Genomic DNA, 14,904 nt, shown 5'->3' on the forward strand with positions numbered 1-14,904 from the left:
CTCTCTCCCTGGGGCCGCCGCCATCTTGCAGGATGCTGGGGAGGGAGCCGCGTGCAGGCCATGGAAACAATGCATCTTTTATGAAGCGATCCCCGCTCCTCGCCTGGAAACCTTGCATTAATGCGGCATTGATTTCCCTCGTAATAGAGGGGGCTCTCCCGCGCCCCCAACCCGAGGGGCGCAAGAAGGGAGGGGGCCAGTTTCGGGGGCGAGGAGGGAAAAGTGGAGGGTGATGGAGTCATCGCTCCGGGCTCCCAGCTCTGCAGCCGGCGCCCTCCCCGCGCCCCGCCTGGAGACCCCCACCCCACCCCGCAGGTGGAGGTTCCCAGAGTGGGGGAGGGGTTCCGGCGCGAGGCCCTCTAGTAACTTCTGGGCTGAGACCCAGCCACAGAGTCCCGGCCGATGGGATCCCCACCCCCCTATTCTCAGCCCTGGCATTGGCCAGAAAGGGCGCAGGAGACCCTCGGCTGCCCCTGGGGCCCGCTGTCTGCGGCCAGGTCCTCTGGGACACGTGTCCCCCCCTCCCCCCAGAACCCTCCGAGGTTCCCCAGCTCCTCCAAGCCCTGTTTCCTTCCCCTCTTCCATCTTGCCGCCTCACTCCCATCCTTACAGCTCCTGCCTTCCTCGTCCTCTCCTGGCTCCCCCCTTCCCCTTCCCTGCTGCCTGCCCCCTCCCTCCACACCCCCTTCCCTGCGTGCTAATGGCCCGGTGGCAGGCGGCTCCGTGGCTGTTTCCGGGGGAGGCGGGTTTGCAGCCAGGGGAGATGTTGGAGCGGTTTGAGGAAGAAGAATTATACATACATAAATCTGGGATAATGACGGTGTTGCTAATGGGGCGGGCGGCGGCAGCTCCCGGCAGTGCCCCCCCACAAACACACACCCCATCACACACACTCAGGGACCAGCCTGGCTTCCTGACGCGTTTGAGGGTCCGTGGGCCCCGATCATCTCCTTGACTGGCCCTGAAACATCCCTGCTGCAGATACGGGGTCCATGCTCATTTGTGACATCAATGAAACATCCCCCTCCAGCCCCCCAATTCAATTTGCGGCTTGCCACTTTGCTTGCCCTGTGGCCTAGGGGTGAGTAGTTACCCCAGCAGGACAGGTGTGTTCACTTGGGTCTTATTACCCCACCACCAGCCTGGACCCCCCACTCCTCTAGGTTTTCTGAGGTCACACCACCCACCACATGACATCTTTTGCATAACTGAAGGAAGGTCAGACGGATTTTCTTACCCTTTCTCCATTTCATAGCTGTGTGACCTTAGGCAAATTACTTAACCTCTCTGAGATTCAGTTCTCTCTACTTGTAATTTGGGAATAATTATGTTCAAAGAACCTGAGGCTGAGGTGGGAGGATCACTTGAGGCAAGGAGTTGGAGACCAGCCTGGGCAACATAGCGAAACCCCTGTCTCAAATTAAAAAAAAAATTTTTTTGAAAAAATTAGTCAAGGGCCAGGCACAGTGGCTCACACCTGTAATCCCAGCACTTTGGGAGGCCAAGGCAGGTGGATCACTTGAGGTCAGGAGTTCAAGACCAGCCTGGCCAACATGGCGAAACCCTGTCTCTACTAAAAAAAAAAAAAGTACAAAAATTAGCCGGTGTGGTGGTGCATGCCTGTCATCCCAGCTACTCGGGAGGCTGAGGCACGAGAATCCCTTGAACCGGGAGGCGGAGGTTGCAGTGAGCGGAGGTCGCACCACTGCACTCCAGCCTGGGCAACAGAGCAAGACCCTGTCCCTAAAAAAAAAAAAAAAAGAGAACGTGAATTCACCCACTTCTTTCCACTTTTGTGCTTCCCAACTCCTTCATCACTTGCCTGGATTTACTGAGGTTGCCTTGGCCACAGGCTCCTGGCTTCTGCCCTGGCCTCCATCCGTCCTTACCACAGCCCAGAGGTATCTTTGAAAAGACAAGGAAGTTCACGTTTTCCTTCTATTGAGAACGCTGCAATGCACCGCCATGGCTCTTAGATTAAGACCGAAATCCCTCACTCAACCTCCTTGGGATTCCTCTCTCCATCGCTAAGTCCACTCCAGCTACACTGAGCCTTTGCACTGGTTGTTCCCACTTCCTGCAACACCCTTCCCCCTAGATCTCACATGGCCAACCAGCTCTGCCTTCTTCTTCACGCCTCAGCTCCATGTCACCACCCCTAGTCAATCTCCATTAACTCTCTGATATCGCTTACTTATTTGTTTTCATGACCATTCCCTCCTGGAATAACATCTCTCTCTCTCTCTCTCTTTTCCTTCCTTCCTTTTTCCCTCCCTCCTTCCTTCCTTTCTTGCTTCCTTCCTTTTTTGTTTTTTTTGACAGAGTCTCGCTCTGAACACCCAGGCTGGAGTGCAAAGGCACGATCTTGGCTCATTGCAACCTCTGCGATTCTCCTGCCTCAGCCTCCCCAGTAGGTGGGATTACAGGCATGGCTGTACACTCAGCTAAATTTTGTGATTTTAGTAGAGACAGGGTTTCACCATGTTGGCCAGGGTGGTCTTGAACTCCTGACCTCAGGTGATCCGCCCGCCTCAGCCTCTCAAAGTGCTGGGATTACAGGCATGAGCCACTGAGCCAAGCTGTTTCTTTCTTTTTTGAGATGGTGTCTCACTCTATCACCCAGGCTGGGGTGCAGCAGCGTGATCTCGGCTCACTGTAACCTCCACCGTGTTCAAGTGATTCTCCTGCCTCAGCCTCCCAAGTAGCTGGGACAATAGGCAGGTGCCACCATTCCCGGCTAATCTTTGTATTTTTAATAGAGACAGGTTTTCACCATGTTGGCCAGGCTGGTCTTGAACTCCTGACCTCAAGTGATCTGTTTGTCTCGGCCTCAAGTGATCTGTTCATCTCGGCCTCCCAAAGTGCTGGGATTACAGGTGTGAGCCACCGCACCTGGCCAAAATTTATAAACCTTGACTCTTATTCTCGGTGTGTCCCACAATACCTGGCACCTACTAGATTTTCAAATATGTGTTGACTGAGTGAATTAAATAAATAACGTTGTGACTATGTAAGGATATAAGTGATGTAAAGTTCTTGGCAGGTCACCAGCATTCAATAAACCAAGATGCTGGGCACAGTGGCTCACGCCTGTAACCCCAGCATGTTGGGAGGCCAAGGCAGGAGGATAGTTTGAACCAGGGGTTCAAGAGCAGCCTGGACAACAAAGCGAGACCCTGTCTCTACAAAAATTACAAAAAAATTAGCTGGGTGTGATAGTGTATACCTGTGGTCCCAGCTATTCGAGAGGCTGAGGTGGGAGGATCACTTGAGCCTGGGCGGTTGAGGCTGCAGTGAGCCAGGTTCCTGCGATCCAGCCTGAGTTACTGAGTGAGACCCTGTCCACATCCCCACAAGAGGTAAACTTATGTTCATCAAAAGACATGTACAAGGATGTTCATAGCTGCTTTATCTACAATAACCATTCACTGCAAACAACTCAAATATCTATCAGCAGTAAGATAAATACATTGTGATACATCTCCACAATGGATTATTATACAACCAAGAAAAAGAACAGGAAAGCAGACATGACAATAGATTCTCACAGATACAATGTTGCGTAAAAGCAAGACGACAAACCATGTATTTCCACTTACACAAAGTTCAGGGGTAGGCAAAACTAATCTATGATGAAAATGTCAAATTGGAGGATACTGACTGAGAAAGAGCATTTGGGAATTTCCTGGAGGGACAATTATGTTCTTCTGGTCTGCATGGTGGATACACAGGTATACACGTGTAGAAATTCACCACGCTGAAATTTATGATTTGTGCACTTTACCATATTCATTAAAAAAAAAAAAAAAAAAAGGAAGCCAGTCATGATGGCTTGTGCCTGTAATCCAAGCTACTCAGGAGGCTGAGATGAGAGGATCGCTTGAGGCCAGGAGCTCGAGACCAGCTGGGTAATGTAGTGAGACCCTGTCTTCATTTAAAAAAAAAAAAAAAAAAAAGATTAGGCTGGGTGCAGTGGCTGTAATCCCAGCACTTTGGGAGGCCAAGGTGAGCAGATCACTTGAGGTCATGAGTTCGAGACTTGCCTTGCCAACATGGTGAAGCCCTGTCTCTACTAAAAATATAAAAATTAGCCAGGTTAGGCCAGGGATAGTGGCTTACGCCTGTAATCCCAGCATTTTGGAGGCCGAGGTGGGCGGATTATAAGGTCAGGAGTTTGAGACCAGCCAATATGGTGAAACTCCGTCTCTACTAAAAATACAAAAATTAGTCAGGTGTGGTGGTAGGCGCCTGCCTGTAGTCCCAGCTACTCGGGAGGCTGAGGCAGAAGAATTGCTTGAACCCGGGAAGCAGAGATTGCCGTAAGCTGAGATCGCGCCATTGCACTCCAGCCTGGGCGACAGAGGAAGACTCCGTCTCAAAAAGAAAAAAAAGTTAGCCAGGCATTGTGGAGGTTACCTGTAATCGCAGCTCCTCAGGAGGCTGAGGCAGGAGAATCACTTGAACCTGGGAGGTGGAGGTTGCAGTGAGCCAAGGTCACACCACTCCACTACAGCCTGGGTGACAGAGCGAGACTCCATCTCAAAATAATAATCATAATAATAATGAAAAGAAATGATGCTGGATGCAGTGGCTCATGCCTATAATCCCAACACTTTGGGAGGCCAAAGCAAGAGGATCACTTGAAGCCAGGAGTTTGAGACCAGCCTGGGCAATGTAGCAGGACCCTATCTCTACAAAAACATATATATTTTAAAAATTAGCCAGGTGTGGTGGTGCATGTCTGTAGTCCCAGCTACTCGCATGGCTGAGGCAGGAGGATCACCTCAGTCCAGTAATTTGAGGCTGCAGTAAGGTGTGATCACACCACTGGACTCCAGCCTGGGCAATAGAGCAAGACCCTATCTCAAAATAAAAGAATAAAATATACAATAAAAATAAAACAGAGCAAAGAGAATGTCCCCTAGAGCCATGTGTGATCCATACGCTTTGTGAATCCTGACACCTCCTCTCCTTCGAGGTTGTACAACTGTCTTCCAAAGTTGGAAAAAAAAAATGTTTAAAGCTGCCCAGATTCAGGAGGGAGGTCCAAGGGGTACCAGTGCCCTCCCCCATTTCCCAAGGACGACAAGGGTTGCCAGCCTCCCTTGGCCTTGGGGTGTGCGCAGCTCGGCGTGAGGGCCAGTGGTTGATCTTGAAGTTTCTTTCCTACTCCCTCATCCCTTTCCTGCCCAAGCTGTGGTCCCAGCTGACTCCCCTATCAGCGACTGCGAGTGAGTTCGGTTGTTATGGCAACGGGGCTGCGGAGATCCCCGGGAACCTGCTGGTCCGCCTCATTGCCTCACCGTATGGGGAGCTGCTTTTCCCCCTTAAAAATGAAACGGGAGTGGGATGGGGGAGGAACCCCCTTCTTCTGCTCTGGAATGAAATGCCTCCCTCACCTGCTTTGTCCCAAACCCCCGGTTTGGAGAGGAGGGTCTGGATGGGACCCAGACTGTGGATAAGGATGGAGGGAGGAGAACTCCTGCTCCCTGGGTTTTAGCAGCCTTCCCAGGTCCCACCGAACACGAGGAACACGGTCTTTCTCCAGCTCCAACTTTTCTCATCTGTCCATTCATTTTTTCCACAGGAGGCATGAGGAGGTGAGAGATGGAAAGAATGCTGCCTGTCATTTGGAGTCAGAAGGAAAAGAAGGTTGAGGGTCTGGCAGCTTTGCTCTAGTGGTTTTTTCCTGTTTCACCTTTTACAAAATCGAGATAATTGTTTCTACTTGGTAGCGATATTGTGAGGTGTAAAATGGATTAACACATGCAAAATGCTTAAAGCAACTTCTGGCATATGGCATATGGTGATCTCTCAACCAATCGATTGTTATTTTATTATTATTTTTTTGAGACGGAGTTTTGCTCTTGTTACCCAGGCTGGAGTGCAATGGTGTGATCTCGGCTCACTGCAACCTCTGTTTCCCGGATTCAAGCGATTTTCCTCCTTCTCCAGGTGTCCACCACCACGCCCAGCTAATTTTTTGTTGTTTTTTGTTTTGTTTTGTTTTGTTTGTTTGAGACAGAGTCTCGCTCTGTTGCCCAGGTTGGAGTGCAGTGGCGCGATCTCGGCTCACTGCAAGCTCTGTCTCCCAGGTTCATGCCATTCTCCTGGCTCAGCCTCCCCAGTAGCTGGGACTACAGGCGCCCGCCATCACGCCTGGCTAATTTTTGTATTTTTAGTAGAGATGGGGTTTCACCGTGTTAGCCAGGATGGTCTCCATCTCCTGACCTCGTGATCCGCCCACCTCGGCCTCCCAAAGTGCTGGGATTACAGGCGTGAGCCACCACGCCTGGACAATTTTTTGTATTTTTAGTAGAGACGGGGTTTCACCATGTCAGCCAGGCTGGTCTCAAACTCCTGACCTCAGGTGATCCACCCGCCTCAGCCTCCCAAAGTGCTGGAATTACAGGCGTGAACCACCGTGCCCAGCAGGGAGACCCTGTTTCTACAAGAAAAAATTTACTGTGATCCCAGCACTTTGGAAGGCCAAGGTGGGAGGATCACTTGAGCCTAGGAGTTCAAGTCCAGCCTGGGCAACATACATAGGGAGAACCCATCTCTTAAAAAAAGAAAAGAAGAAGAAAGAAGAAAGAAGAAGAAGAAGAAGAAGAAGAAGAAAGAAAAAGAAATAATTACATGTAACCCTACCAGCAGTTTTGTGGGATTGCTATGATCATACCCATTTCACAGATTAGGTAACTGAGGTTTTAGTGCCCTGGAGATGAAGGCATTCTCTAGTCTCCCAGAAGCCCTGGACTCTTGAACAACCCCAAATGCTAAACTCAGCAGTAAAATGGCTGGTGGCTCCTACCTGAGGGTTCACAGAGGGGCTGCCTGTGCTTGTCTCCCAGCCCTTTCTTCCTGTGTATTAAGAGGGTTGCAGCTACTTCAGGGCCAGCGTCTCCACAAGTCATCATGACGGCTTCCTGATCATGGCTCTCTCTCTCTCTTTTTTTTTTTTAAGACGAAGTCTCGCTCTGTCGCCCAGGCTGGAGTGCAGTGGCATGATCTCGGCTCACTGCAAGCTCCGCCTCCTGGGTTCACGCCATTCTCCTGCCTCAGCCTCCTGAGTAGCCAGGATTATAGGCCTGCGCCACTGTGGCCAGCTAGTTTTTTTGTATTTTTAGTAAAGATGGGGTTTCACTGTGTTGGTCAGGGTGGTCTCGAACTCCTGACCTCAAATGATCCACCTGCCTTGGCCTCCCAAAGTGTTGGGATTACAGGTGTGAGCCACTGCGCCTGGCCTGGAGATCTGTTTGTCATATTGGTGAACACTTTTAAACAACCAGATCTTGTGAGAACTCACTCACTATCACAAGCACAGCAAGGGAGGCCTCTGACCCCATGATCCAATCACCTCCCACCAGGCCCTTCCTCCAACACCAGGGATTACAATTCAACATAAGATTTGGGTGGGGGGGATACAAATCCAAACCATATCACAGGACCTGTGTTCCCACCTCCTAAACCTGGGTGGGACTTGTGACTGCTCCAACCAATGGAGTATGAAGGAATTGAGTCAATGAGGTTTTGAAGGTTGAGTCATAGAAGATGGCTTTCACCTGGCCTGTCTTTCTCCCTCTCTCTCTCTCTCTTTCTTCCCTCCCTCCCTCCCTCCCTCACTCCCTTCCTTCCTTCTTCCCTCCCTTCCTCACTTCCTCTCTCTCTCCCTCCCTCCCTCTCTCTTTCTCCCTTCCCTCGCCTCCCCTCGCCTCCCCTCCCCTCCTCTTCCTTTCTTCCTTTCTTCCCTGCTTGCTTGCTTGCTTGCTCGCTCTGCTGCCCAGGCTGGAGTGCGGTGGTGCCATCATAGCTCACTGCAGCCTCAAACTCCTGGGCACAAGTGATCCTCCCCAGCCTCCCCAGTGCCTGAGACTACAGGCACATGGTGCCTCATCTGCCTGATTTTTAAATTTTTTGTAGAAATGGGGTCTTGTGGCAGACGTGGTGGCTCACGCTTGTAATCCCAGCACTTTGGGAGGCTGAGGCAGGTGGATCACCTGAGGTCAGGAGTTTGAGACCAGCCTGGCTAACATGGTGAAACCCTGTCTCTACTAAAAATACAAAAATTAGTTGGCAGGGGTGGTGGGCGCCTGTAATCCCAGCTACTTGGGAGGCTGAAGCAGGAGAATCGCTTGAACCCGGGAGGCGGAGGTTGCAGTGAGTTGAGATTGTGCCACTGCACTCCTGCCTGGGCAACAAGAGTGAAACTCCGTCTCAAAAAAAAAATTTTTTTTTTTTGTAGAGATGGGCGTCTCCTTATGTTGCCCAGACTGGTCTTGAACTTTGAGCTTCAAATCCTGCCTCAGCCTCTAGAGTAGCTGGAATTGTAGGCAAGAGCCACTCTGTCTGGTGGTTTTTAACAGTTTTTTTTTTTTTTTTTTTTAAGAGACAGGGTCTCACCAGGCGCAGTGGCTCACGCCTGTAATCCCAGCACTTTGGGAGGCCAAGGCAGGTGGATCACCTGAGATCAGGAGTTCGAGACCAGCCTGACCAATATGGTGAAACCCTGTCTCTACTAAAAATACAAAAATTAGCTGGGCGTTGTGGCATGCACCTGTAGTCCCAGCTACTCTGGAGGCTGAGACAGGAGAATCGCTTGAACCTGGGAGGCAGAGGTTGTGGTGAGCCAAGATTGCACCACTGCGCTCTAGCCTGGGCAACAGCAAGACTCCATCTCAAAAAAAAAAAAAAAAAGAGAGACAGGGTCTCAATTTATTGCGCAGGCTGGAGTGCAGTGGTGCAATCATAGCTGCAGTCATAGCTCACTACAGCCTCAAACTCCTGGGCTCAAGGATCCTCCCAGCTCTTCTAAAATATTAGCCGGAGGGTGGGTAGCATGTACCAACTCTTGGGCTTAGTAATCCTCCTGCCTCAGACTTCCAAATCGCTGGGATTACAGGTGTGAACCACTGCACCTGGCCCTCTTGTTTCTAAGGATATCAGTCATTGGATTTAGGGCCTACCCTAAAATCCAAGATGTTCTGATAGTGAGATCTTTAACTTAATTCCATCTGCAAAGACCCTATTTCCAAATAAGGCCACATTCACAGATACCAAAGGTTACACATTTCTTCTTTCTTCTTCTTTCCTCCTCCTCCTCCCCTTCCCTTCCTTTTTTTTTTTTTTTTTTTTTTGAGACGGAGTCTCGCTCTGTCGCCCAGGCTGGAGTGCAGTGGCACAATCTTGGTTCACTGCAAGCTCTGCCTCCCGGGTTCACGCCATTCTCCTGCCTCAGCCTCCACAATAGCTGGGAATACAGGCGCCCGCCACCATGCCTGGCTAATTTTTTGTATTTTTTAGTAGAGATGAGGTTTCATCATGTTAGCCAGGATGGTCTCGATCTCCTGACCTCGTGATCCGCCTGCCTCGGCCTCCCAAAGTGCTGGGATTACAGGCGTGAGCCACCGCGCCCGGCCCCCTTTCTTCTTCTTTCTTCTTTTTTCCTTCCCCTTTCCCTTCTCCTCCTCCCCCGCCTCCCTCCCCTTCCCTTTCATCTTCTTTCTTCCTTCCCCTTCTTCTTCTCCTCCCCCTCCCCTTCCCTTTGTTCTTCTTCTTTCTTCTTTCTTCCTTTCCCTTCCCCCTGCTCCTCCTCCTGCTCTTCTTCTCTTTTCTTCTTTCTTTTCAGGCTCTTACCCTGTTGCCTAGGCTAGAGTGCAGTGGCACAATCATGTCTCACTGCAGCCTTGACCTCCCGGGCTCAGGTGATCCTCCTGCCTCAGCCTCCCAAGTAGCTGGGACTACAGGCATGTATCACCACACCTGGCTAATTTTTAAAATTTTTTTGTAGAGATGGGGTATTGCTATATTGCCCAGGCTGGTCTTGAACTCCTGGACTCAAAGGATCCTCCTGCCTCAGGCTCCCAAAGTGCTGGGATTACAGGCGTGAGCCACCGGGCCCGGCCCATACATATCTGCTTTGGGGCCACAATTCAACCTGCTACAATCACAATAGATGTTGTGATTTTTCCACCTCTTTCTCTTTTTTTGGACTTGTTTTTCATAGTCTGGGGCATAATTCATTTAAACCATTTTCTTTGATTGATGAACCGTACATTGTTGCCAACTCTTTGTTCTTTCCTAGTTTTTTGTCTGCACTGTATTGTACTGGAGAACAAATATTTCTCCAAGAAGTGTTCCCACTGGTGGAAGGACAGGCTGGTTTTTGGTTTTTGGGTGTTTTTTGAGACGGAGTTTCACTCTTGTCACCCAGGCTGGAGTGCAATGGCATGAGCTCAGCCCACTGCAACCTCTGCCTCTCGGGTTTAAATGATTCTCCTGCCTCAGCCTCCCGAGTAGCTGGGATTATAGGCGCCTGCCGCCATACCCGGCTAATTTTTGTATTTTTGGTAGAGACGGAGTTTCATCATGTTGGCCAGGCTGGTCTCAAACTCCTGACCTCAGGTGATCCGCCGGCCTTGGCTTCCCAGAGTGCTGGAATTACGGGTGTGAGCCATCTCATCCGGCTGATGGGCTGGTTTGGTTTTTTGTTGTTGTTGTTGTTGTTGTTGTTGAGACAGAGTCTTGCTCTGTCACCAGGCTGGAGTGCAGTGGCGTGATCTTAGCTAACTGCAACCTCCGCCTCCTGGGTTCAAGTGATTCTCCTGCCTCAGCCTCCCAAGTAGCTGGAACTACAGGTGTGCGCCACCACACCCAGCTAATTTTTGTATTTTTTAAGTAGAGACGGGTTTCACCATGTTGGCCAGGATGGTCTCAATTTCTTGACCTCAGGATCTGCCCACCTTGGCCTCCCAAAGTGCTGAGATTATGGGTGTGAGCCACCGCGCCCGGCCGATGGGCTGTTTTTGTGTTCTGGGTTGGGTAGGATAAGATAGTTCCCACTTGGCTTTCTAGATCCACTTTTCACGCGCCTCTACTTGGCTCTGGTTCTTTGGACAGATCTGGGGTTCCCTGGTCCTCTGCCTTCCATCTGGGGTCAGACAACTGAGAGGAGATGGATGGCAGGACGGGAGTGAATTCAGCTTCAAGCCTGTCCTGAGAACAGGTCACTCACCTGACCCAGAGCCATGGTTTCTGGGGATGGCAACATCTGCCCAGTGTCCCAGGGTGCTAGGGTTGTGATTGAAGCCTTTTAAAATTTTTATGTATTTAGTTAGTTATTGTTTGTTTGTTAGTTTGTTATTGACACAGAGTCTCACCCTGTCACCCAGGCTGGAGTGCAGCAGCAAAATCATGGCTCACTGCAGCCTCAACCTCCTGGGCTCAGGCGATCCTCCCACCTCAGCCTCCCGAGTAGCTGGGAGTACAGGTGCAGGTCACCACACCCAGCTAATTTTTTAATTTGTTTCTAGAGACGGGGTATTGCCACATCCAGGCTGGTCTTGAACTCCTGGACTCAAGGAGTGATCCGCCCGCCTCGGCCTCCCAGAGTGCTGAGATTATAGGAGTGAGCCACTGTGCCGGCCTTTGAAGCTTTTCCTGCAAATTCTCTTATCTTTATGACAGACCTCAGTCACCCACTGTGATTGCAGGATGCTTCCCATGGGGATCGTAACCAAAAAGCATTCTTCTCCAGGAGCTTTTCCTGATAGCAAATGCGTTAGATTTTGGGAACATCTAAAAATAACTTTTTCTTCTTTTTTGTTATTATAGGCAGGAAATACGCTATGTGTAAACCAGAAGACTATAAAGATCTCCACATTTCCAGCCCTGAGGAAACCACTGCTGATCTTTAGGTGTCTATCCTTTTTGTCTTTTTTTTTTTTTTGAGATGGTGTCTTGCTCTGTTGCCCAGGCTGGAGTGTAGTGGCGTGATCTCCGCTCACCGCAACCTCCGCCCCCCAGGTTCAAGTGATTCTCCTGCCTCAGCCTCCCGAGTAGCTGGGATTACAGGCGCCTGCCACCATGCCTGGATACTTTTTCCATTTTTAGTAGAGACGGGGTTTCACCATGTTGGCCAGGCTGGTCTCGAACGCCTGACCTCAGGTGATCCACCCGCCTCGGGCTCCCAAAGTGCTGGGATTACATGTGCCACCATGCCCACCCTTCTTTTTTTGTTTTTTGTTTTTTTGTTGTTGTTCTTGTTGTTTCTAAGACGGAGTCTCCCTGTCTGTCACCCAGGCTGGAGTGCAGTGGCGTGATCTTGGCTCACCACAACTTCTGCCTCCCGGATTCAAGCAATTCTCCTACCTCCGCCTCCCAAGTAGCTGGGACTACAGGCGACTGCCACCACAGCTAATTTTTGTATTTTTAATAGAGATGGAGTTTCACCATATTGGTCAGGATGGTCTCGATCTCCTGACCTCGTGGTCTGCCCGCCTCAGCCTCCCAAAGTGCTAAGATTACAGGCGTGAGCCACCGCGCCTGGCCATTTTTTTTGTTTGTTTTTTGTTTTTTTTGAGACAGAGTCTCCCACTGTCGCCCAGGCCGGAGTGCAATGGTGCCATCGCGGTTCATTGCAAGCTCCGCCTCCTGGGTTGACACCATTTTCCTGCCTCAGTCTCCCTAGTAGCTGGGACTACAGGCACCCGCCACCACGCCTGGCTAATTTTTTTTGTACTTTTAGTAGAGATGGGGTTTCACCATGTTAGCCAGGATGGTCTCTGTCTCCTGACCTCGTGATCCGCCTGCCTCGGCCTCCCAAAGTGCTGGGATTACAGGCGTGAGCCACCGCGCCTGGCCCCCCCCTTCTTTTTTTTTTTGAGATGGGGTCTTGCTCTGTTGCCCAGGCTGGGATGCAGTGGTGTGATCTCGGCTCACTGCAGCCTCCATCTTCCGGGTTCAAGGGATTCTCCTGCCTCAGCCTCCTGAGTAGCTGAGATTACAAGGGCGTGCCACCACACCTGGCTATTTTTTGCATTTTTTGTAGAGACGGGTTTCACTATGCTGGCCAGACTGGTCTTGAACTCCTGACCTCAGGTGATCTGCCTGCCTCAGCCTCCCAAAGTGCTGGGATTACAAGCCTGAGCTGCTGCAGCCAGCCTCCCTCTTGTCTTTCTCAGGACAGGGCTCTGGGATCAGACAGAGCCGGGCCTGAATGCCTGCCTGACCACGATATGCTCTGTGAGCTTGGGCAAGTGTCTCAACCTCTCTGAGCTTCAGTTTCCTCATTTATAAATGGTGTAAGCATAGTGCCAACTTTGTCAGATTGCTGGGTGTAAATGCCCTGAGGTTGATAAATGTCGGTTCCTACTATGTCACCAGGCTGGAGTGCAGTGGTGTTATAGCTAACTGCAGCCCCAAACTCTTGGGCTCAGACGATCCTCCCCGTCAGCCTCCCTAGTAGTAGTATGCCATGACTGTCTAATTTTTTTTTTTTTTTGAGATGGCGTCTCGCTCTGTCACCCAGGCTGGAGTGCACTGGCGCAATCTCAGCTCACTGCAAGCTCCGCCTCCTAGGTTCACGCCATTCTCCTGCCTCAGCCTCCCAAGTAGCTGGGACTACAGGCGCCCGCCACTACGCCCGGCTAATTTTTTTGTATTTTTTAGTAGAGACAGGGTTTCACCGTGTTAGCCAGGATGGTCTCAATCTCCTGACCTTGTGATCTGCCTGCCTCGGCCTCCCAAAGTGCTGGGATTACAGGCATGAGCCACCGCGTCCAGCCATGCCTGGCTAATTTTTTAAAAGGTTTGTTTTAGAGACGGGGTCTCGCTTTGTTGCCCAGGCTGGTCTCGAACTCCTGGTATCAAGTGATCCTCCTCCTCAGCCCCTCAAGTATCTGGGATTACAGGCACAAGCCACCACCCCGGCTACAGGAATGTTATATAACAGATGTTCAAATTCTTCTTCAGGCTTTCTATAGATAACAGGATTTCAGCCCCTCTTCTATGTGACCCAGGCCAAGTTTTGGTCTTGTTCCACAGTCCTAGAACCTGCCGTGTTTTTTTGTTTTGTTTTTTTTTTTTTGAGACGGAGTCTCGTTCTGTCGCCCAGGCTGGAGCGCAGTGGCACGATCTCGGCTCACTGCAAGCTCCGCCCCCCGAGTTCACACAGTTCTCCTGCCTCAGCCTCCGAGTAGCTGGGACTACAGGCACCCGCCACTATGCCTGGCTAATTTTTTTGTATTTTTAATAGAGACGGGGTTTCATACCTGCCATTGGTTTTTAAGATCTTATGTCTGGGCCAGGAATGGTGACTCACACATGTAATCCCAGCACTTTGGGAGGCCAAGGTGGGTGGATCACTGGAGGTCAAGAGTTTGAGACCAGCCTCGCCAACATGGTGAAACCTCATCTCTACTTAAAATACAAAAAGTAGCTGGGCAAGGTGGTGCACGCCTGTAATCCCAGCTACTTGGCAAACTGGGGCATGAGAATCACTTGAACCCGGGAGTTGGAGGTTGCAGTAAGCTGAGATCATGCCACTGCACTCCAGCCTGGGCAAGAGAGGGAGACCCTGTTGAAAAAAAAAATTTAAGGCCGGGTGCGGTGGCTCACGCCTGTAATCCCAGCACTCTGGGAGCCTGAGGCAGGTGGATCACCTGAGGTCAGGAGTTCAAGACCAGCCTGGCCAACATAATGAAACCCGTCTCTACTAAAAGTACAAAAATTAGCTAGGCATGGTGGCGCGTGCCTGTAATCCCAGCTACTTAGGAGGCTGAGGCAGGAGAATTGCTTGAACCCAGGAGGCGGAGGTTGCAGTGAGCCGATATTGAGCCATTGCACTCCAGCCTGGGCAACAAGATCGAGACTCCGTCTCAAAAAATAAATAAATAAATAATAAATGTAAGTGAGACCAGGTAGACTGGTGCATGCCTATAATCCCAGCACTTTGGGAGACTGAGGTGGGAAGATGGCTTGAGCCCAGGAGTCCAAGGCTGCAGTGAGCTATGACCGTGCCACTGCACTCCAGCCTGGGCCACAGAATGATAGACACCTTATCTCTTACAGAAAAAAAAAAAAAATCAAGTGAATGTTTCATTGAGTGCTTACTAAGTTCCATGC

General features: G+C 50.6%; 3 annotated features.

Annotated features, from left to right (window-relative positions):
* Positions 944-1,461: an enhancer, noted in NCBI's record as "H3K27ac-H3K4me1 hESC enhancer chr19:14360564-14361081 (GRCh37/hg19 assembly coordinates)". NCBI's record gives its function as "activates a minimal SCP1, AML or CMV promoter by ChIP-STARR-seq in naive H9 embryonic stem cells {active_cell/tissue: H9 hESC(naive)}" and the evidence as "EXISTENCE:reporter gene assay evidence [ECO:0000049][PMID:30033119]".
* Positions 11,386-11,586: a silencer, noted in NCBI's record as "peak3380 fragment used in MPRA reporter construct". NCBI's record gives its function as "represses an SCP1 promoter by STARR-seq MPRAs in K562 erythroleukemia cells {active_cell/tissue: K562}" and the evidence as "EXISTENCE:reporter gene assay evidence [ECO:0000049][PMID:32103011]".
* Positions 13,635-13,835: a silencer, noted in NCBI's record as "peak3381 fragment used in MPRA reporter construct". NCBI's record gives its function as "represses an SCP1 promoter by STARR-seq MPRAs in K562 erythroleukemia cells {active_cell/tissue: K562}" and the evidence as "EXISTENCE:reporter gene assay evidence [ECO:0000049][PMID:32103011]".

Source organism: Homo sapiens, chromosome 19, assembly GCF_000001405.40.
Source record: "Homo sapiens chromosome 19, GRCh38.p14 Primary Assembly".
NCBI classification, from domain to species: Eukaryota; Metazoa; Chordata; class Mammalia; order Primates; family Hominidae; genus Homo; species Homo sapiens.